This window comes from Homo sapiens, chromosome X (assembly GCF_000001405.40).
Source record: "Homo sapiens chromosome X, GRCh38.p14 Primary Assembly".
Taxonomy (NCBI): Eukaryota; Metazoa; Chordata; class Mammalia; order Primates; family Hominidae; genus Homo; species Homo sapiens.
This window is the reverse complement of record NC_000023.11, coordinates 77,661,253-77,685,603: the sequence shown is the minus strand read 5'-3', so window position 1 is coordinate 77,685,603 and position 24,351 is coordinate 77,661,253. Positions and strand designations below refer to the sequence as shown.

Below are 24,351 nucleotides of genomic sequence, written 5' to 3'. Positions count from 1 at the left end.
CTCATTTACATTCCTACCAACAGTATACAAGGGTTCCCTTTTCTCCACATCCTTGCCAGCATTTGTTATTGCCTGTCTTTTGGATATAAGCCATTTTAACTGGGGTGAGATGATATCTTATTATAGTTTTGATTAACATTTCTCTGATAATCAATGATGGTGAGCAGCTTTTCATATGCCTGTTTGTCATTTGTATGTCTTCTTTGGAGAAATGTCCAGTCTAATCTTTTGCCCATTTTTTGATTGGATTATTTGATTTTTTCCTATAGAATTGTTGGAGCTCTTTATATATTGTGGTTATTAATCCATTGTCAGATGGGCACTTTGCAAAATGTTCTCCCATTCTGTGGGTTGTCTTTTCATTTTGTTGATTGTATCCTTTGCTGTGCAGAAGCTTTTTAACTTGATGTGATCTCATTTGCCAATTTTTGCTTTGGTTGCCTGAGCTTGTGTAATATGCTCAATAAATCTTTGCCCACACCAGTGTCCTGGAGATTTTCCCCAGTGTTTTTAATTACTTAAAAAAATAAAGTTTTTGTCCTTTATGAATGTTATCAATTTCGAATTAAATTTCCCCTTCCTCTTTTCTTTTAATAGAATTGCTTTAAGTATTACATGAGTGATGATATTAGCCGTGACTCAGATGGAATGGATGAACAATGTAGGTAGGTAATATAGATGAGCTAACATTCAGTGTTTCCTACTTTTGGGAGGAATTGTTACATAATCATTTATGAGGTTTGTCTTTCATAGTATCGTCATTGATGTCTTTAATGAAAGGTTGTTCTTTTCCATAAAACCCTGGATTTATGTCTAGTTTAAGTTTCTAATAAAGAGTAAGCAGATGACCTAAATTACCACTAAAATTACTGGCAGTAAAATTTAAATTGCATTATAACAAAGAGATTAAAATGAGTTTTGTTGGGAATAATGTTTATTTTTATTTTTTTACATATCTTTTCAGTTTCCTGAAAGAAGGGAATAATGTTTTAATCTTTAAAACATTTCAGGTGGTGTGCGGAAGGTGGAAACTTGATTTGTTGTGACTTTTGCCATAATGCTTTCTGCAAGAAATGCATTCTACGCAACCTTGGTCGAAAGGAGTTGTCCACAATAATGGATGAAAACAACCAATGGTATTGCTACATTTGTCACCCAGAGCCTTTGTTGGACTTGGTCACTGCATGTAACAGCGTATTTGAGAATTTAGAACAGTTGTTGCAGCAAAATAAGAAGAAGATAAAAGTTGACAGTGAAAAGAGTAATAAAGTATATGAACATACATCCAGATTTTCTCCAAAGAAGACTAGTTCAAATTGTAATGGAGAAGAAAAGAAATTAGATGATTCCTGTTCTGGCTCTGTAACCTACTCTTATTCCGCACTAATTGTGCCCAAAGAGATGATTAAGAAGGCAAAAAAACTGATTGAGACCACAGCCAACATGAACTCCAGTTATGTTAAATTTTTAAAGCAGGCAACAGATAATTCAGAAATCAGTTCTGCTACAAAATTACGTCAGCTTAAGGCTTTTAAGTCTGTGTTGGCTGATATTAAGAAGGCTCATCTTGCATTGGAAGAAGACTTAAATTCCGAGTTTCGAGCGATGGATGCTGTAAACAAAGAGAAAAATACCAAAGAGCATAAAGTCATAGATGCTAAGTTTGAAACAAAAGCACGAAAAGGAGAAAAACCTTGTGCTTTGGAAAAGAAGGATATTTCAAAGTCAGAAGCTAAACTTTCAAGAAAACAGGTAGATAGTGAGCACATGCATCAGAATGTTCCAACAGAGGAACAAAGAACAAATAAAAGTACCGGTGGTGAACATAAGAAATCTGATAGAAAAGAAGAACCTCAATATGAACCTGCCAACACTTCTGAAGATTTAGACATGGATATTGTGTCTGTTCCTTCCTCAGTTCCAGAAGACATTTTTGAGAATCTTGAGACTGCTATGGAAGTTCAGAGTTCAGTTGATCATCAAGGGGATGGCAGCAGTGGAACTGAACAAGAAGTGGAGAGTTCATCTGTAAAATTAAATATTTCTTCAAAAGACAACAGAGGAGGTATTAAATCAAAAACTACAGCTAAAGTAACAAAAGAATTATATGTTAAACTCACTCCTGTTTCCCTTTCTAATTCCCCAATTAAAGGTGCTGATTGTCAGGAAGTTCCACAAGATAAAGATGGCTATAAAAGTTGTGGTCTGAACCCCAAGTTAGAGAAATGTGGACTTGGACAGGAAAACAGTGATAATGAGCATTTGGTTGAAAATGAAGTTTCATTACTTTTAGAGGAATCTGATCTTCGAAGATCCCCACGTGTAAAGACTACACCCTTGAGGCGACCGACAGAAACTAACCCTGTAACATCTAATTCAGATGAAGAATGTAATGAAACAGTTAAGGAGAAACAAAAACTATCAGTTCCAGTGAGAAAAAAGGATAAGCGTAATTCTTCTGACAGTGCTATAGATAATCCTAAGCCTAATAAATTGCCAAAATCTAAGCAATCAGAGACTGTGGATCAAAATTCAGATTCTGATGAAATGCTAGCAATCCTCAAAGAGGTGAGCAGGATGAGTCACAGTTCTTCTTCAGATACTGATATTAATGAAATTCATACAAACCATAAGACTTTGTATGATTTAAAGACTCAGGCGGGGAAAGATGATAAAGGAAAAAGGAAACGAAAAAGTTCTACATCTGGCTCAGATTTTGATACTAAAAAGGGCAAATCAGCTAAGAGCTCTATAATTTCTAAAAAGAAACGACAAACCCAGTCTGAGTCTTCTAATTATGACTCAGAATTAGAAAAAGAGATAAAGAGCATGAGTAAAATTGGTGCTGCCAGAACCACCAAAAAAAGAATTCCAAATACAAAAGATTTTGACTCTTCTGAAGATGAGAAACACAGCAAAAAAGGAATGGATAATCAAGGGCACAAAAATTTGAAGACCTCACAAGAAGGATCATCTGATGATGCTGAAAGAAAACAAGAGAGAGAGACTTTCTCTTCAGCAGAAGGCACAGTTGATAAAGACACGACCATCATGGAATTAAGAGATCGACTTCCTAAGAAGCAGCAAGCAAGTGCTTCCACTGATGGTGTCGATAAGCTTTCTGGGAAAGAGGAGAGTTTTACTTCTTTGGAAGTTAGAAAAGTTGCTGAAACTAAAGAAAAGAGCAAGCATCTCAAAACCAAAACATGTAAAAAAGTACAGGATGGCTTATCTGATATTGCAGAGAAATTCCTAAAGAAAGACCAGAGCGATGAAACTTCTGAAGATGATAAAAAGCAGAGCAAAAAGGGAACTGAAGAAAAAAAGAAACCTTCAGACTTTAAGAAAAAAGTAATTAAAATGGAACAACAGTATGAATCTTCATCTGATGGCACTGAAAAGTTACCTGAGCGAGAAGAAATTTGTCATTTTCCTAAGGGCATAAAACAAATTAAGAATGGAACAACTGATGGAGAAAAGAAAAGTAAAAAAATAAGAGATAAAACTTCTAAAAAGAAGGATGAATTATCTGATTATGCTGAGAAGTCAACAGGGAAAGGAGATAGTTGTGACTCTTCAGAGGATAAAAAGAGTAAGAATGGAGCATATGGTAGAGAGAAGAAAAGGTGCAAGTTGCTTGGAAAGAGTTCAAGGAAGAGACAAGATTGTTCATCATCTGATACTGAGAAATATTCCATGAAAGAAGATGGTTGTAACTCTTCTGATAAGAGACTGAAAAGAATAGAATTGAGGGAAAGAAGAAATTTAAGTTCAAAGAGAAATACTAAGGAAATACAAAGTGGCTCATCATCATCTGATGCTGAGGAAAGTTCTGAAGATAATAAAAAGAAGAAGCAAAGAACTTCATCTAAAAAGAAGGCAGTCATTGTCAAGGAGAAAAAGAGAAACTCCCTAAGAACAAGCACTAAAAGGAAGCAAGCTGACATTACATCCTCATCTTCTTCTGATATAGAAGATGATGATCAGAATTCTATAGGTGAGGGAAGCAGCGATGAACAGAAAATTAAGCCTGTGACTGAAAATTTAGTGCTGTCTTCACATACTGGATTTTGCCAATCTTCAGGTATGCAAAAATAAATAAAAAATTCATAATTTGTACTTCCCCCTCTTGAGTTACTACATTGTTTAATTTCCTCTGAAGCTAATCAAATTTAGGGTTACTACTTAGGAGAATACCACTTAAAAATTATTTAGGAGTTTATTAAAAAAAGTTTCCCTATTTATTTTTATGCTGCCATTGGAAGATATTTTGAACATTGCTAGTATTCAGTATCAGGGATCTCAAATTTGTTGAGTAAATGACAAAATTTCTTTATCAATGTTTAGTGCTTTTCTCTGGAGTAATGAGCAGAAGGAAAAGCGGACTGGTGCCAGTGGTTCAGTAGCTATTTAGTTATATAATGGAAGTGAGTGCTTGGTACTGGTATGACATGGTGTGTCAAAATTTTAACTGCCATGCATATGGCTTTTTAAGTTTGAACAGATAACTTTGTGTCTCATGAAATCCCCTTTAATTATTTTTAATTTACCTCATTAAAACCCTTTGTTGATGCTTATTAACTAGTTTCTAATGACATGAACAGATGTTTTTCTTTTAAAAACACTGTCAAAATGAAGGAAGAAAATCCAAACATTAGCTGGATTAGCCTACCCTGATGAGGTAGAGTACTAGGAACATTAAAGTTTGGGTCAGCTGGTGAATGAAAATATTTTTATGAATTAATTAAAATCTTTAAAATTTATGAAAAATAATTTTAAAAATAAGTTTTTATTATTGAAGTTATTTTAAAAATCAGTTGTATAATAAATGTGTATTGGTCATTTGTCTTTTTTTTTAGTCAGTAAGACCTGTCAGTTCTATGGATACTCAGAATTTATTTAAAAATGTTTATAAAGTGGGTTTTACATAAAATTGTATTTCCAACATAGGTAGAATTTAAAAATTTTTCCTTCCAGTTCTTATGTTACAGTTTTCAATTTATCCCAATTGGATTTTAATGGAATTAATTTGAATCTTGGCTATTTTTTAAATTTTAATTTTTAATTTTGTAGAGATGAGGTCTTGCTATGTTACCCAGGCTGATCTTGAACTCCTGGCATCAAGCAATCCTTCCACCTCGGCCTTCCAAAGTGTTGGAATTACAGGCATGAGCTACTGTGCCCAGCAAAATCTTGTTTTTTAATAAAACTTTACATTTCTTTTATGGAGTACTTATGACTTGACTTGAAAACCACATGTGATATGCAGTGTGTGTGTTTCAATTGAATGCTCTGCTATATCAGATGACTAGATGGAGCTCTGTTTGTGTGGCTATTGTAACTTCAAGTTCACAGTTTCTTACCTGAAATTCTTGGGGTCTGTTGTGTTTCAGAATTTGCAACTTTTTGGTTTTTAGAAAAATAATAGAGAGAAGTTACTATATATTTTATAAAAGCTCCAGTGGGGCCTGATGCAGCACCAGATAATCAAACACATAGTATTTCTGCAGCAAAACATTTGAAGATTCACATTTAAAGGAATAAGCAGTTTAGACCAGGTTTTGCTGCCAGATTGTCTTTGGTACCCTCTTACAGAAACTTTCCATTTTGAGAGTGTTTTAGATTTCAAAATTATATATAAGGGATTGTGGACTTATATTAAAAATACAGAATCTAATATTTACTTTGATGTCAAATCAATGTTTTAGTTGTTAGGTTAGCTGTGAAAATCCTTATTAAGGATTAGAGTTTAAGAATAATAAATTGTGTTTAAAAATTAGTTAAAATCCATTAAAAATTATATGTCACTGAGCTAATTTTATTTCTGGTTTTATTTATTTGGATCTTCTCTCTTTTTTTCTTAGTCTGGCTATTTTTAAACTTTGGAAAATTGGTTTCTGTGATTAAACAGTTTCACTGGTGAAATCAGTATGTTTGATTTCAAGTATTTTACTACTTTTCTTAAGATCTCACTTGATTTATTGATACCTATGAAAGTTTCTGTTATGCACCTCTCATGTTGAGAATTATTAATATTTAGTGTAATAATTAATATGAATTCATTAGGCCTTAAGAAGGGATGGTGATATATGGCAAATACTCAATTGATGCATCTCTTGATAATTACTTATCTCAGCACTGATCTAGATCACTGTGTTCCATTTTGATTTATTTAACTTTGATCTGAAGGACAAATAGGCTGATGGGGAGTAAACTTTTTCTCAGGTGTGTATCAAGAGAAACTTTGAGAATTCGTCACTTCAGCAAATTCCAATCCTTCAACTGCTTGGTGAAATAAGCCTTGTTGAGATTTTCTTTACCCTGGATATTTTTGGGGGCTAAGCTGATTATTTGGGATGAAATAAGAAAGAAGATAAATTTGTTAGGGAATTTAACCTGTGAAAAATTGGGCCTTGTCAATAGAAACAAGTAGAATAGAATATGAGTGCCTTGAAAATAAGCGCTGTAAAAAGTTCTGTTTTTAAAGATAAGTTTGCGTGTGAGCCAGTGTTATGATATTCCTTCAGAATTTACTTACATGCTTATGTAAGCATGCTGAATTTATGTACTCCTCTGTCTAACTTAATTTTAGGTCACAGTTTTAGAAGGTTAAAAGAAAAACCCTGCCCCCTATTGAGTTTAGAGGATTCCAGTTTATTCGCAGTATTTGGGTATCATATTACAGCTACAGTATTTTCCTAGAAATTGGGGCTTGGTAATGGCATGAATAACCAAGATGAAGAACATGGTCCTAGGAGATTGCAGTTTAATGCAAGACAGACATAGAGAAATCATTAAAAAAAGTAACAGAAGAAAGATATAAAACTAGAATGGGGCCTGTAATCCCAGCACTTTGGGAGGCCAAGGTGGGTGGATTATCTGAGGTCAGTAGTTCAAAACCAGCCTGGCCAACATGGTGAAACCCCATCTCTACTAAAAATACAAAAAAATTAGCCAGGTGTAGTGGCGCACACCTGTAATCCCAGCTACTTGGGAGGCTGAGGCAGGAGAATCGCTTGAACCCAGGAGATGGAGATTGCAGTGAGCCACGATCGCGCCACTGCACTTGAGCCTGGGCGACAGAGCGAGACTCCGTCTCAAAACAGAAACAGCAACAAACACAACAAACTATAATGGGGCTACACAATAAATGGCAAGTGAACTACTTAAATATTTGGGGAAATATTTAGAAGAATAGTTGGCATTTGAACTTCAAAGGATAGGTCAAATTTTGAAAGGTGTAGTAAAGAGGGAGTGACAGTACTGTTACTAATTATATTTCATTTGAAGATTGGTCTGTTTGAATGAGATATTTATTGTGAGTTTGCTGGGATATTATGAAATCTCTTCTCTCTCTCTGTCTGTCTCTTTTTTTTTTTTTTGAGTTGAAGTCTCACTCTGCCACCCAGGCTGGAGTGCAGTGGTGCAATCTCGGCTCACTGCAATCCCTGCTCACTGCAACCTCTGCCTTCCGGGTTCAAGCGATTCTCATGCCTCAGGCTCCTGGGTAGCTGAGATTACAGGTGCATGCCACCACATTGGCTAATTTTTGTATTTTCAGTAGAGACAGGGTTTCTCCATGTTGGCCAGGCTGGCCTCGAGCTCCTGACCTCAAGTGATCCGCCTGCCTCAGCCTCTCAAAATGCTGGCATTACAAGCTTGAGCCACCACGCCTGGCCTTATTTAGTGTATTTCTATCCTGAGCCTGTAGGTGTCTGTTTCCTTTATAGATTTTTTCCTCCATTTCCCTTCAACATTTTATTGTGAAAAACATTTAAGTATACACCAAAGCATCTACCATTAATATTATACTGTATTTTCTTGATAACATATCTATATATCCTTCTGTCTATCCATCAGTATATCTTTTTTTTGCCTTTTTAGCTTTTTATTTTGCATAATTATAAATCCACAGAAATTTGTAAAAAAAAAAAAAAATACAGGGAGGTCTCAGATAACCTTTACTTAGTTTCCCTCAAGGGTAATATCTTGTAACTCTAGTACAGTGTCAAAACCAGAAAACTGAAGATTTATTCAGATTTCACCAGTTTCACATGCACTCATTTGTGTGTGTATAAGTATAGTTCAGTGCAGTTGTACCACGTGTGTATCTTTGTATAATCACCACCACAACCGATATATCAAACCAGTTCCATTATCACAAGGCTCCCTTGTGATACTGCTGTCCTTACCTCCATTCCTGACATCTGGCAACTAGTAATCTGTTCTTTATCACTGTAATTTTGCTATTTTGAAATGGAATCATGAAGTATATAACCTTTTGAGATTGGCTTTTTTCACTTAGTATAATACCCTTAAAATCTTTGATGCATTTCAGATTAAACGGTAGACATCAGCATACTTCTCCTGAAACACTTAAGCATGCATAGTATTAACCTACAGTTTAATATTTCAGTTTTTCTTTTGAAGTAAAATTTATATAGAATGAAATGCCCAAATCTTAACCTCTTTAGATTTTTTTTTTTTTTTTGAGAGAGTTGTTACCCAGGCTGGAGTGCCGTGGTGCGATCTTGGCTTACTGAAACCTCCGCCTCCCAGGTTCAAGTGATTCTCCTGCCTCAGCCTCCCTAGTAGCTGGGATTACAGGCACACACCACCATGGCTGGTTAATTTTTGTGTTTTTAGTAGAGACGGGATTTTGCCATGTTGGCCAGGCTGGTCTGGAACTCCTGACCTCAGGTGATCCGCTTGCCTTGGCTTCCCAAAGTGCTGGGATTACAGGCGTGCGCCACCTCACCCGGCCCTCTTTAGATTTTTAATCAAAATATAGAAATGCAGCTTTTTATAAGAAAATAAGTTTTACTGTACTGAACTGTATCTCTGGGTAACTCAGGTCACAAATACCATACACATTCAACTGCATTTTAAAATTACTTGCTACTACCAAAATATTAATACTGTTTTTGCTATTCCTCGAAGATACAGCACCAGTTAACGTCAAAATTAAAATGGACCAGTACGAAGGTTATTGTGGCAAGAAACTTATGCTAATATGATGGCTGTTGATACAGAATTGTTACTGAGAAGGGTGGACTTTAAAAGCCTTGTGCCCTGGGAAGGAACTCTGAAATATATAAGGTCCAGCTATTTATCATTTTACTGCTGGCACTTCACAAATAACCTGTTATGTTTTCTATAAGAATGCTTTTTACTCATATTTTGGAGTCCAGAGTTTAGACCCCACTTAGTTTGCTTTAAAGTTTTTGGCTTTCAGTTTTATTTTACATGGTTTTAATTATATAGCTTATTTAAAGCTAATTTTAAGTACACTTTTTTCCCTCAAGGAGATGAAGCCTTATCTAAATCAGTGCCTGTCACAGTGGATGATGATGATGACGACAATGATCCTGAGAATAGGTATGATTCCATCTGTAAGGACTTTAAAAAGATTATAACACACCCTAGGCATGGGCACAAACAGCAGCAACGGAACAGCAAGCAGGTTGTAAAAACCAGGAGTGCCTGCCTTAGAAAGACTCGCTCACAGTCTTCCTGCAAGTTTGAAAGAAAGGCCAGAAAATGGGCTAAAACTCAGAAACCTTAAGAGAAAGTAATATCATTATTTACACACCTAGCATAGGGTGTGTTATAAATACAGAACTGTCAATTTTATGTTGCTATGTAAACTGCAGTAATTTTTTTGGAATAATTTATTTTGACAGATTATTGATGAAAGTAAATCATATCTCAGTAAATTGGTAACAACAGACATCTCCTCTATATTTGACTATTGTTAATTGCCATCCAATATGGTGGTCCTATTTATTAAGGCCTGTTGAGAAGAAACAAAAAGAGAGATTACTCAGATATTTAAGATTAAGAAATTGCTTTCAAAATAAGTGTCAGTTTACAAGGTATCTAGACTGAGTTAGAGTTTAACCAGTTTTCAAATAAAATAGAAATACACGGTATGAGAGCATTTACTTTAATAAGACTTAATAGGTTTAAATGTCAACAGTGTAGCCTATACAGATATACTTAAGTAAGGGGTGGCTGGGTGAAGAAAAAAAAAGACACTATCAGTGTAGTGAAGAATAAGGAAAACAACAGTATTAAAGACTATAGCTATAATGTTTCAACATAACTTTTAAACACTTCCTGGACAATAGCATACCCCATGCTCATAATCTTCAACAAGAAGACAGCATGGTATAGTGCATGGAATTTTGGAATAATGGGCATAAGGGTATCTGATTTCTAACATTTTTAACAACTGTCTGTGTCATCATGGGCAAGTGACTTTACTTTTTGTCAAAAATTTACTATATTTAAGAAGAAAAAGTTGGGCGAAATTTTCTGTAATTCTAGTACCAAAAAATCCATGATAGATTTGAGATGATTTCATTAAAGAGCACTACATTAACCATTCATTTATTCCTAATAGTAAGTTCTAACATTAAGAAAACATAAAAATATACATGTAATTTTCTGTCATAATTTTGTAAGAAATTAACTGACTTAGTAAATGCCCTGGGTTCAGCTGTTAGTTTCGCTCTTTTGTATCTTGCTGATGCTGTTAGGTTTCTCTGTTTCAAAGGTCAGCATTCTGCTAATTAACAGAAGAATGTTTTTATTAAGGTGAATGAACAGTTTTATTTTACAGTTTTGAATAGAGCTTAATTGTGGACACAAATATTCAGATTCTGCTTGCCTACTTTTTTAAATTAAAAAATGTATATCCATTTATTTTATGGGATAGGTGGTAGGTTCCAGAATGGAGTGATAAGGGCATACAATTTATTCATCAGGGATTTTACATTATATCATCACAGCCAGATACTGAAAGCATTTAAAATTTTACTCTTTTTTAAGATGCTTTAATTTTTCTTCATTTATATTTGCTATTTGATTTTCTATACATCATGAGGCCTCAGATGTTACTCAAAGGCTAATAATGTTTTAAACATTCTATATCTTAATTTAACTGTGAATGATTTACTTTAATTTCATATTTAACCACCAAATAAGAGTGTTGTTAAGGTATAATTTTTTTGTGTGTGTTAGAGCTTGTCAAAATATAAATATCATTTTCAACTTTTAAGTTACCTGATCGTATCTCTCTGTAACTGGCAAGTATTTTATTGGAAAGTATCTTTAATTCCACCTTGAATTTGTGATTAAAAAATACAACCCTGTTGAGTACTTTTGAGAAGAATTGAATTTTATCTTGAGCATGTCTTTCTATACTCAGTTTAATTTGTTTTTATAAAATATACAATTTATTAACTTGTTTAATATTCACTATACCAAAGAGGTATCTAATACCCATGGGTTATGTAGTCATGATGGGGATACAAATACTTTCTTGCACTATTTTAGTATAGATTATATATTTGAGCATATTTGAATATGCACTAAGCAACTTAAAAAATTCATTTGCAGATCACGATTAAGTCTTAGAATTATTTTTCTAACTTCCTAATTTTTGAGTAGGTTGTATTTTGGTAGACAGCATATTGTAATTGTATGTAAATTTGTACACAATTGTGTGTAAATTGTGTATAAATCTTATATGCTTTGTCTTTTTAGCAGTATTGTAATACATTTTCAGTGTTGGTGTTTATGAAGCGATAGTGTATTATTGCAAATGGTTAACTATTTGGATGCAATAAATTTTTGTAAACCTTTTTTCTTGTTCAAGCATTTAATTTTAATAATAATGTTACTTTTTTATATCATGAGAGTTGACATAATTTGTTATTAAAATATAGAGGCTAGTTTGTAGCCAAAGAAGTTTTGAAATTTTGAAATTTAGGACGTAAATACTTTTAATTCCCCTAACATATATACTTATATATATTTGTGTGAAAGTTTTACAACAGATTTAACTACTATTTACTTTTTCTGTTTTAAAGCTATGATGGCTTTTGGGGGCATTTAAAAAACTTAGTCATATCCTGAATATTTTAGTAAATGTGAATACATTTCTGTTTTAGCATGCTATTATGTAGCGTCACTCATATTTGAAAGTAAATGTATAATATTATGAGACAGTGGTCTAACCTATAAATTAATTTCTATTTAATTGGATTTACTTAATGAACAAGGACAGAATATTATAGATTGATCAACACTTGTATGTTTCTGGTTTAGCTTTTTATAAAAAAAAGTAGACTAATCATATATTTTGAATTTTATATAACTGAAAATTTAGAGCTTAGGCTTTATGTAGTTTCTCAATGGCAGAATAATAATACCAAATAGGTTGTCAGGTTTTCACATTTATACACGTAATTTTAAAGTAATATACTTGAAAGTGCCATTAGGGTAGGGTTTCATTGGCCTTTCAAATACCTGTTAGTTGGATTTTAAATTGGTTCTTTCTCTGAAAAGACATCTATTCATATAATTTATTTCAATTCAATAATTAGCCTGGCATTGAAAATACACCATAATTCCTTTATATGTTCAATATAACTGGGGATATTTTGACCAAACATTTTCTAATAATATCATATATTTTAATTTAATATCTGTACTGGGAATGAGCCTCAAGTAATACGATAGTAGTGTGTTCAAGTTTTAACAGTATTAGTTTTGAGGATCATTAAACTAGGCTTGTCTTTAGAGATTGCATACTGAACAATCACTGAAGAGACCATTTATCCCAAAAAAGAATTATCTTTTGAAATTTCTTTATTCGCTTATTTTGCAGGATGTGAGAAATATTTACAATTGAGCTTTTGAGAGCAAAAGACCAAAGTGCTAGGTTTTTCTAAATAAGCATTCTTTCTCCCTGACAACTTTGACTAAGAGCTGAGATTTCTACATGGATGTCTGCTCCCCTAACAAACACATTTACTTTATTGTTGAAATGTGCTTAATTGGGTCTAGTAATACTCCACATTTTTTCTCATAATTTCTCTGTGGGTGCGACTAAATGCTTTTTTTTTCATAGAAGCGAAATTTGATGTGGAGATTGCTAAAAAAAATTGTCCCATTGTTATATTTAATTATATTGGGACTAGACCATAGCATTTTAAATTTCCAACTGTTGTTGTATCATTTGATGATAATTTTGTGTTTCAAACTAGAAAATATGCTAATGATTTTTTTTTTTCCTACTGGCTTGGTGTGGGTATGCTGTTGATGACGGCTCTGTATTGTTAATCCAGCATATTTTCGGAGGAAACTAATGATTTCTGGATGTTATTTATGCCTAAGAAGATATTTAATGATTGTTTACCTGATTTCAGCACAATTAATGGCATGGATGTATCACAAGTCCCTTAATCGTTTGATGTTCACTTTGCTTTCATTTTAAACACTTTTTCAAATGTCTGTCTCCTACACATGTTGTCTATTCTCTATGCAAATTTGCTAAATTTGGAATAATTTTTTTCTGTGATTTTTTTTTTGTGGTAGTTCTGTTTCGTTAGCAAAACTGCTTTGATTCTCCTTTATTGTACTTGAAAAACAAAGGTGGCGTTTTAAATTAAGTATTTTACTTGTTTTTCCATTTGAGTAAGGGTTTTAAATATCTAGCAATTTTACGGTAATTTTTTTTTCAATTTCCTTTGTCTGTATAGCACAGGTAAGTATTGCAAGTCATTTAAGTATAACACAGGTGTCCAGCCAGTAGATAGGATCTACTTGTAGATATCTGAACTGGCTGTAGTTGTTACTGGCTTTCTTTTTTCTACTAGAATTCCCAGTCAGGAAAGACATATGATGTGTAGTGGTGACCTTTGTCCTTCTATGGTCAAGATTTAAACATTATAACCAGTGTTTCTTTCTTGTTCTCTGTTCTTTGGTGATATTGGGACTTTCAGAAAATAAGAAATAGGTCTTCCTCAAAAAAGAAAAAAAAGAAAAAGAGAAAAAGGAAGAGTTTGGATTTCTAGTGTTAGGAAAAGTGATTCATTTTTCTGACTTAATATCCTTTGTCTTTAACTTTGAAATTTCAAAATAAAATTTTGAAATTTGAGATGAGTAAATTCTGTGTTTTCATTTTTCAAGTATAAAAATATTGAACTAGTTATTTAATATGATCAAATTTCCCATATTAATTTGAATATATTTTTTCTTGTTAAAATGCCTCTAAAACTGGTTTAGATTTTTGTATAAAATTAGGGAATACACATGTAATAATTCAGGCCTATTGAAACATAAGTCTGTATGAATTATTAATAACTGTGGGTTCTTAATTTCATAGTTTTTATTGTTCTACCTCCAAGATTTTTTTAAAAAGTCATTTGATATTAATTTTCCTGGTACCCTCACCAAAAAGGATACAGAGCTACTTTTCATTAACTACCCACATTGTAGGATTTGCGACTAAAAAAAAATATTTCAAACCATTGTTTAGCTTTTTGATTATTTGGTGACTTCATTATTATCTCGTGAATTCCACCATTTTGGGGTACAGATCATTATGCCTTAGTTTTATATATATATATATATATATATATATATTTTTTTTTTTTTTTTTTTTTGAGACAGAGTCTCACTCTGTCACCCAGGCTGGAGTGCAGAGGCATGATCTCGGCTCACTGCAGCCTCCACTTCCCTGTTTCAAGCAATTCTCCTGCCTCAGCCTCCTGAGTAGCTGAGATTACAGGCACCCGCCAGCACACCTGGCTAATTTTTGAATTTTTAGTAGAGATGAGATTTCACCATGTTGGCCAGGCTGCTCTCGAACTCCTGACCTCAAGTGATCCACCCGCCTCAGCCTCCCAAAGTGCTGGGATTACAGGCATGAGCCACCGTGCCTGGCCAGTCATATTTTTTAATAGAAAACTTAAGATACTAATTTTGAACCTGAGTTGAAATATATACTAATATGAATTTTGAAGAATTCCATATTCCATAACTTTTTTTTTTTTTTTGAGACAGAGTCTCGCGTTGTCACCCAGGCTGGAGTGCAGTGGCATGATCTCCGCTCACTGCAACCTCCGCCTCCTGGGTACAGGTGATTCACTTGCCTCAGCCTCCCAAGTAGCTGGGACTACAGGTGCCTGCCACCATGCCCGGCTAATTTTTGTATTTTTAGTAGAGATGGGGTTTTGCAATGTTGGCCAGGCTGGTCTCAAACTCCTGACCTCAGGTTATTTGCCTGCCTTGGCCTCCCAAATTGCTGGGATTACAGGCGTGAGCCATCGTGCCCGGCCACATGTTTTGTTTTTTAATTCCTATCCTTTAAATATATGACATTTATTAAAACAAAGCCTCACACCCTACTAAAATATTTAACATTCCTTGGCTATACTCCTTTGAATTATTTTATATATCAAACTTTAAAATATGGTGTGATGCTTTAGTACTACATATACTTAGGTACCTCTAAAGAGCATGCATTTAAACCCATTATCTTATTTATAATTCTGTAAATTAAGTACTCTATTATGATATTGTACACAAAAACCAATTTTTAAGCAAATTTTATCACCTTGTTTATGGATGCCCAGTATTTTGGCCTTCTAAAAATATATTTTTTTCCAGCAATTTTCTTCAAACCTGTTCTCAGAACCTCTTAAAAGATAAAATGGTCATTGTAGAATGTATCTCAGATGACCTATCGTGCATTTTAGAGTGCATACTGGATTAAATATGTTTAAAACTCCTTTTATCATCTTTAAAAACTCAAGCTGGTTGCAGTGGCTCACACTTGCAATCCCAATGCTTTGGGAGGCTGAGGTGGGAGGATCACTTGAGGCCAGGAGTTTAAGACCAGCCTGGGCAACGTAGTGATACCTTGTCTCTACTAAAAAGAAAAAATTAGCCGGGCATGGTGGTACATGCCTGTAGTTCCAGCTACTCAGGATACCGAGGCAGAATGATTGCTTTAGCCCGGGAGTTCAAGGTTACAAGGATATGTGTTTGTGCCACTACATTCTAGCCTGGGCAACAGAGCAAGACTGTCTCTAAAATAAAATTAAAAAAAAAATTAAAGCTTGAGTTCTTGCATTTCTAAATACATAAATTTAAAATATGCGAAATACACTTATTTTTAAAAATGGGGGTCAGCGCGGTGGCTCATGCCTGTAATCCCAGCACTTTGGGAGGCTGAGGTGGATGGATCACCTGAGGTCAGGAGTTTGAGACCATCCTGGTCAACATGGTGAAAGCCTGTTTCTAATAAAACTACAACAATTAGCTGGGTGTGGTGGCACACACCTGTAGTCCTACGTACTCGGGAGGCTGAGGCAGGAGAATTGCTTGAACCTGGGAAGCAGAGGTTGCAGTGAGCCTCCCTCACTCCAGGTTGAGATTGTGCTACTGCACTTCAGCCTGGGTGACAGAACAAGACTTTGTCTGGAAAAAAAAAAAAAAGGCATCATCTGTATTTGCCCAGGCACTCATTAGCATACAAGTATTAACAAGTAGAGGGTATAGTGCTGGCACAGTAAAATTAATAGCAGATTGGGATTTAGGATCTTAGGTTCTACTCCTGACTTTGCCACTAGTTAGCTTTGTTTCTTTGGCTGAGTCATTTCCTATATCTAAGCCTGTTTCCTCATCTGTAGAATGACAAAGCTGTACTCTGAGGTTTGTCCTTCTGGCTCTAACATTTTGTATTGCTTTTGTTAATGGCTCGAAAGCTCCCTGGTGCAGGAGGTCCTTCTCTTGATTGCATTTTAAGAAACTCAACATTTCGAATTATTGATTTACCTATCAGCAAGAGGTGGTTTACTTTCCTTTCCTGTTTGAGCGTTTAAACAAGCGACATTACTCATTTCCTTTCTAGATAGGATTGGAGTTAATAAAGGCTTTCTTGGCTTTCTCCTATGTTTTTTTTTTTTTTTCCCCGATTGCTTGTTTGTCATTGTGTTGTTGGGCTCACTTCTTATTATTTTATTTGTGCTTTCTTTTAGTAATGGTGTTATCTTGGTGTTCATTATGTACTTTGGAAGACTTAGTATATGTGGGTTTTGGGGTCCTATTTATTTTCTCATGCGCCAGTTCCGATCATTGTTTGTTTGTGGGTTTTTACCCTTCCTCCCATATTGTTTTGCTTTCTCCCCCTCTCCCTTCCCTCCCTTTCAGGAAAATGGAGGAGTGGCTCCATTACTTCTGGCTCTGCCCAGGTTTTCTGCCACAAGAGTGGCACGGCCTGTGCCTCTAATGCTTCTGATAGAGTCGTGACTGCTTTGGATGCTACACCTGCCCCAAGATGTAATATTGAGCATTGAGATTCCAGGGGCAGTACATCGTCCTGGAAAGCCTCAAGAAAGGAAACTTCAGAGCAAACAGAATCAACTAGGGATCATGACTATACATCCAGCATGATCCAGCATGGGTCCAGCCGAGGCCTCCAAAATGATGCTTTGCCAGCCTCAGCTGGTTCTCAAGTGATGATATCCTTGAAGTCTCTGTGGCCCGTGACTCCAGAGTTAAGGTAGTGGAGTTTCCCTTTAAAGCATCTCACAGCAGGCTTTGTAGATGGGACACATCTCACTTCAACATGCTTGCTGGCTACTCAGGTTGAAGGTCAGCCTCAGCCCTTAGGTCCGTTAAATTAAGTTCTAATTTTGAAATGTAGGTTATTATGTTATAGGCTAGGTTTATGGTAGACTGGGTCTTTGACATATTGGACTTCAGTAATAACTTATGCAAAATGATTCAACTTATTCTTTTTAGGGCTTAATTTACATAGCTATAAATTAGGTTTTCCTTTGGACAAAAGGTGTTAGAGGGCAAAAATAAAACCTTTAGCCAGGTAGTCTCCATCACTCTGTATATAATTTGTGATTTGGAGAAAAATGACCTGAAGTTTGTAATTTTTTGGCTTCTGAATGTACTATGATTGTTCTATATGTTATGATCTTACTGAAAGTTGTCGCTAAGTTGTACTTCTACAGTATGTGGATCTGATTTCACTTTATATGATTTATTAATAGGTATACAATTGTATTTTATCTCATGTACATCATATTTCTTAGTCTAATGACAATCCAGAACTTGAGAATGCATTAAGTAGGTTTATGTATTGTGACTTTCCGTTTTTTAGTAGACATATTCTTTGGAGACTGGGATTTGAAAGAAGAAAAATTGTGTGATTTCCTACAATTAACAACCAAATCTTTATAGTTAATAGGAATTTTTTAAAGACTTTTTTTGAACTTGTAAACACAAACTGAAATCAGGTTGTTGAACTAGGCTTTCAAGTAACTAGATTAGGAATTGTATTTTTGTTGGCTGTTTAGTGTTCAACCCAAATGATGGTATGAGATCTTGTACTTGCAAGTAAACTGTGTTTTTCCATTTCTAATCCAGTATTCAATGCTTCACATATTTTATACACACACACACACACACACACACACACACACACACACACACACACATATTTATTCGTCCCAAAATTCATTATTCAGATTAGTTTGAGGAAGTTTTTCTGGTCCATGAGAAATGACAGTGTAGTATTACTAAAGATGGTTTTAATATATACCAACAGAAAAAAAAAGTGCTGTGCCAGACATAGAAATTTGCTGCTAACATTTTATTTTAGTATCTTCTAGTCTTTTTTAGGGACATACAAATTTTAGAAGTTTTTTTTTTTTAAATAGAACTATATTGTGGTTTATAAATTACTTTTTCACTGAATATTAATAAATATTTTCTATCTTAATCTTATTTAGAATATCATTTTAATTTCTATCTCTTATGGATAATCATGTGAAAATACTATTTAATCAGTTTCTGATATTGAATGTTTAAACGTTTTCTCACCCTTTGCTATTGCAGACAACATTATAATAAACATACATGAATTTTTTTTTTCTTTTGAGACAGAGTTTTGTTGCTCAGGTTGGAGTGCAATGGCATGATCTCAGCTCACTGCAACCTCCGCCTCCCGGGTTCAAGCAATTCTCCTGCCTCAGCCTCCTGAGTAGCTGGGATTACAGGCATGCGCCACCACACCCAGCTAATTTTCGTACTTTTAGTAGAGACAGGGTTTCGCCATGTTGGCCAGGCTAGTCTCGTACACCTGACCTCAGGTGATCTGCCTGCCTCTGCTTTCCAAAGTGCAGGGATTACAGGCATGAGCCACCACACCTGGCTGAAATTTTTTTTAAAAAGATGATTTTAGAGAATTTTTCCAGAAAGATGTATATCTTCAATTTAAAGGGTTTCCCTTTATTCTGAAACTGTTTCCTAATTTGGGGAGGGTATGTTGTAAATAGTCTTTATTTTATAAATGATGAAAGTAAATGGAATTTGGGTTTAAATTTCTTTTTTTGGCAAAATGAAAAGTTGGCAACCCTGTATTTGTCCCATTTTAAGAAAGCTTACAGTGTGCAAACCATTGATCTAGAAATGTAAGAGCAAAACTTTATAGCTCAACTTTAGTAAGATTTAAATTGGTGTGATCTAATCTTCACTTTATTGAAATACAAATCAGGGCAGAAATCCTCAGAAAAGCAAACCCATCTGTGGCTTCCTTTAGCAATTGATGATTCTGTGTGTTGTCTAAATATTCCTGATCCATCTGTTTGAGGGAGAAAGCACCAAAAGGCATATAATAAACATTTATGGAAGTGATTGCCTATTTTGCTTCAGTCTATTTAGATGCCTTTGCTATGCATCTTTGAATATGAATAGTAATGAACAATCTGTCAAATAAAATTTAGGAGGCAGCTAACATGCATTAATATCTCCTGCCATTGAATGAATTCTTCATTGAAATGTGGGTGCGTGCTAAGAAGTGTAAAGAGGGGTTTCAAATCCAGAAATAACAAATGTTCCATCATCTCAGCTACAAGTTTTTGACTTAGAGAGTCAGTCTTGATTGCAGAGAACATGTTTATCCCATACAGATTAGCTCATGGCAGACTGTCAGGATCATGCCATCTTCTTTTTGAACTTTTCTATAAGCTATTTTCTTGTTACCGTGATTTGTGAATTTATATTGAAAGGATACCCAGACTTATCAAAACATCTTGTCTTGCACAAAAGCTGTATGATTGCTTTAATCTTACATTTTCAGTTATTTTTCTTGAGTATAAACATGGAGATTTCCTAGGAATATATTTTATTTTAACATATGATGGTAGGAGTAAAAGTAGTGTTTTCTTATGCTTTTAGTAATTGATTTTTCCATTAGCAAATTGGTCTTTGAGGAGCATCTTGAGAAATTTTGTTGTGAGTGAAGCAACTGCACTATTTTTTTTAAAGTAACCCATTTATGGTAATTCGTGTTCTTTTTACCATGTATGTAATTAATAGCACTCATGTCCCTTCTTTCCCCTGTCTTGAATATTATTAGAGATTATTTATTGCTGTAATACTTAACATTTGTGTATGCTTTCATCTGGTTCACAGCATTTATGTAGTACATTGAAATTAAGGTCCAAAACTATCATCCTCTAGTTTGAAGCAAGGTGTCATTATATAGTGGTTTATTACACATTGGTTTTCCAAGAATATATTTTGCTGTTGAATAAAACCTCTCGTGGAGTTTTATCTTGGAATGCCATTTATCTGAACAAGTTCATTTACTGTTGTTGACCTGTCTGACTTTGTAGTTGTAGGATGGTGTCAGCAAAGCAAATAGAGGATTGGAAGGTTATGCAGCATCAAATTGCAATTGGTAAAAATAGTCAATAGAATATGTCCTTCAGAGTTTTCAATATATTGCAGAATTGTATAGAATTGAGAAATAATAAGTGTAAAGAACATTTTTAAAAGTTTTTGTTTATAGCTTAGGTTAAAACATGGTTTTGCTAGTTGTTTATTTACAATATAAAATCTATTGGCACATTTATTTCTATTTTGATTCAAAGAAGTCTGTTTTTATTTTTAATTTGGTGTATTTCACCCCCAGATATATAGTTCTTTTTTTATTGTTTTTTACTCTCAAGAATTGCCAAGAAGATGCTTTTAGAAGAAATTAAAGCCAATCTTTCCTCTGATGAGGATGGATCTTCAGATGATGAGCCAGAAGAAGGGAAAAAAAGAACTGGAAAACAAAATGAAGAAAACCCAGGAGATGAGGGTGAGCTCCCCAGAGAGAAGTTTATAATGTCATAATTTGATTCCTTGACTAATTCAGTCTTTGAAGAATATCTGACCAAGAAATATCTTAATATGGCCCGGCGTGGTGGCTCACGCCTATAATCTCAGGACTTTGGGAGGCCGAAGCAGGTGGATCACTTGAGGTTAAGAGTTTGAGACCAGCCTGACCAACATGGTGAAACCCTGTCTCTACTAAAAGTAGCTGGGCGTGATAGTGCGTGCCTGTAGTCCCAGCTACTCAGGAGGCTGAGGCAGGAGAATCACTTGAACCTGGGAGGCAGAGGTTGCAGTGAGCCGAGATCACGCTGCTGCACTCCAGCCTGGGTGACAAAGCGAGACTCCATCTCAAAAAGAAGAAGAAGAAGAAGAAGAAAAAAAATCTCTTAATACTTGTATTTAGAGTTCATGGAAATGTTTAAAACTTTATTACCATGACTTCTCTTGAATATCTTGTAATAATTATGGAAGTTACTCTAATTTTGTCAGTTACTGCCAATAAACAGATGATTTTTTTTTTTTTTTTGAGACAGAGTTTTGCTCTTGTTGCCCAGGCAGGGGTGCAATAGCGCAATTTTGGCTCACTGCAACCTCTGCCTCCCGGGTTCAAGCGATTCTCCTGCCTCAGCCTCCCGAGTAGCTGGAATTATAGGCATGCGCCACCACACCCTGCTAATTTTGTATTTTTAGTAGAGACGGGGTTTCTCCATGTTGATCAGGCTGGTCTTGAACTCCCGAACTCAGGTGATCTGCCCACCTCGGCCTCCCAAAGAGCTGGGATTACAGGTGTGAGCCACTGCACCCGGCCCTAAACAGATGATTTTCAAAGCAAAATATTTTATACCTTACAAAGGGTTCTATAAATATATAGGTGATATTTAGTCAATATTTAATAATAGTAATATGTCAAGTCTGATGTGTGAGATTACCTGATAACACCAATGATACCAAAGTATGTGTCTAACTCTGATTTTTTTCATAAGTTGCAGTAGTTGTCAACAGGCAAAATAGATATACGAGGCATTTTAAAGGCTGAAGAAGGTTTTATTGATTTATTTCCTTCATTTAGAAGCAAAAAATCAAGTCAATTCTGAATCAGATTCAGATTCTGAAGAATCTAAGAAGCCAAGATACAGACATAGGCTTTTGCGGCACAAATTGACTGTGAGTGACGGAGAATCTGGAGAAGAAAAAAAGACAAAGCCTAAAGAGCATAAAGAAGTCAAAGGCAGAAACAGAAGAAAGGGTAAGATGTTTTAATTCTGAATGTAAAGAACATATTGGACCAGACAGTGGCTTATGCCTGTAATCCTAGCACTTTGGGAAGCTGAGGTGGGCAGATTGCTTGAGCCCAGGAGTTTAAGACCAGCCTGGGCAACATAGGGAAACCTCATCTTTATGAAAAATAGAAGAAATAGCTGGGTGTGGTGGTGTGCACCTGTAGTCCCAGCTACTTGGGAGGCTGAGGTGGGAGGATCACCTGAGCCCCGGAGGTCAAGGCTGTAGTGAGCAGCGATTGCACCACTGCATTGCAGCCTGGGCGACAGAGTGAGACCCTGTCTCAAAAACAAAAGCAAAAACAAAAAAAATACTGGTTTTGTAAACTAATTATAGTAATGAAATTTAAGTGTATGGCCAGGCACGGTGGCTCATACCTGTAATCCCAGCACTTTGGGAGGCCAAGTCGGGTGGATCACAAGGTCAGGAGATTGAGACCATCCTGGCTAACACGGTGAAACCCCGTCTCTACTAAAAATATAAGAAATTAGCTGGGTTTGGTGGCACGCACCTGTAGTCCCAGCTACTCTGGAGGCTGAGGCAGGAGAATCGCTTGAACCCAGGAGGCGGAGGTTGCAGCAGTGAGCTGAGATTGCGCCATTGCAGTCCAACTTGAGCGGCAGAGCGAGACTCTTTCTCCAAGAAAAATAAAAAAAAAAAAATTTAAGCATATCTGCTCAAACAGTTGACCACTTATATTAAGCAAATGTCAGTACACTGGCAACAAGTATACTATCACATGAGATTAAAATTAATAATTTAGAGTGGGAAGATAACCCAGAAACTTTAGATGACACAAAGAATATTTTTAACCTTTAGATTATAAAGAGAAATAAATATGATTTAATAAATAAAACATTATGTAGAAAGTATAAGATTGCATACAACTGCAGAATTAGTGCTTTCCTGTAGAAGGGTAGAAAATGAAATTAATTTGGGTAAATTTATGCAAGCTTATATGCAGAACTTGACTGGCATATAGTCAGAGTAGATTTCCATTTCATTAAAAGCCTGAGTCCTTTTGCATTGAGGGCTTACATGTTTCCAGCAGTATGGTGGGCATTGAGGATACAAAAATGAATAAAAATGTATCTCAGTGATTCTGATAGGTAACTAGGTTTGGCAGTCACTGGTTTAGTAAGAATTATTGACCTTTGTATTATAAAAAAATTATAGCACCATGAGGGACATTTTGTGTAACGTAATTATATAATGTGGCACAAAGAAGGGCTTCTTTAGCTTCTTGAGGGGTAGGAGTTACCCCAGAGAAGGCTTCACAAAGAAGGCTTTTACCCAACAGATTAAATTCAAAATGTGGGAGCACGTAGATTGTTGTGAAGATTTACAACACAAGCAGGGAAAAAAATTTTAAAACCTGTGTAAAATGTTGGCACATGATGGATGGGATACAATTAATATAGTATAAGCTGCTCTATAGATAGGAGTAGGGAAAGGAACAACAGGGGATGAAGCTGGGCCTGTAAAACAGAGACCAGATACTGGAGATCTTTGTAAGCCTGTGTTTTTCACACTGGAGTACTGGGTGGTATACCAAGGTGTACATCTCTTTGGTGTCTCTATTTATAATTTGAGGTTTGGGGAAGGTCATTTTATGTTAAATAATATATATTGGGTAATTAAATGTGATATTTGCCTGCGAATTTTGGGTAACAAAAAGTTCAAAGAATTTTTTTGTTGTTGCTGTGGTGGGCTTTTTGATGACTAGGGGTAAATTTTGAAGACTGTTGTTAGTACCCAACCCATGGATGGCAGATGAACTCTTCTTTGCCAACTGGGAATAGGAACGCATTTTTGCAAGTGTTTGGGAAATATAATAGGCTCTAAAGGATGCAGAGCCATTGAAAAGTTTTTTTTTTTTTTTCAATTACTGTATTTATTTTTGAACTCTGGACCTCTGGTTATCCACCTACCTCGGCCTCCCAAAGTGCTGGGATTATAGGCGTGAGCCACCGTACCGGCCTTATTTTTAAATTTTTTGTATAACAGCTATATTGAGATATAACTCACAAACCACACAGTTCACCATTTACAGTATACAATTTAGCAGTTTTTAGTATAATCATAGAGGATTACCAC

The 24,351-nt window shown here is 35.2% G+C and overlaps 1 protein-coding gene across 11 annotated transcripts in view; it reads left to right on the top strand.

Moving 5' to 3' along the window:
• Positions 1-24,351, top strand: part of ATRX (ATRX chromatin remodeler) — a 281,337-nt gene that overhangs the window by 100,613 nt on the left and 156,373 nt on the right. For 7 of the 11 annotated variants that reach the window (XM_005262156.5, XM_006724666.5, NM_138270.5 and 4 more), the window contains 5 exons: positions 598-665; positions 1,011-4,084; positions 9,306-9,378; positions 20,826-20,959; positions 22,046-22,222. In XM_005262156.5, the coding sequence (XP_005262213.2) occupies positions 598-665; positions 1,011-4,084; positions 9,306-9,378; positions 20,826-20,959; positions 22,046-22,222 (3,526 nt within the window). The remainder of the gene's footprint in view (positions 1-597; positions 666-1,010; positions 4,085-9,305; positions 9,379-20,825; positions 20,960-22,045; positions 22,223-24,351) is intronic. The other 4 variants (XM_005262157.6, XM_017029604.3, XM_017029601.3 and 1 more) reach the window with 1 other exon arrangement.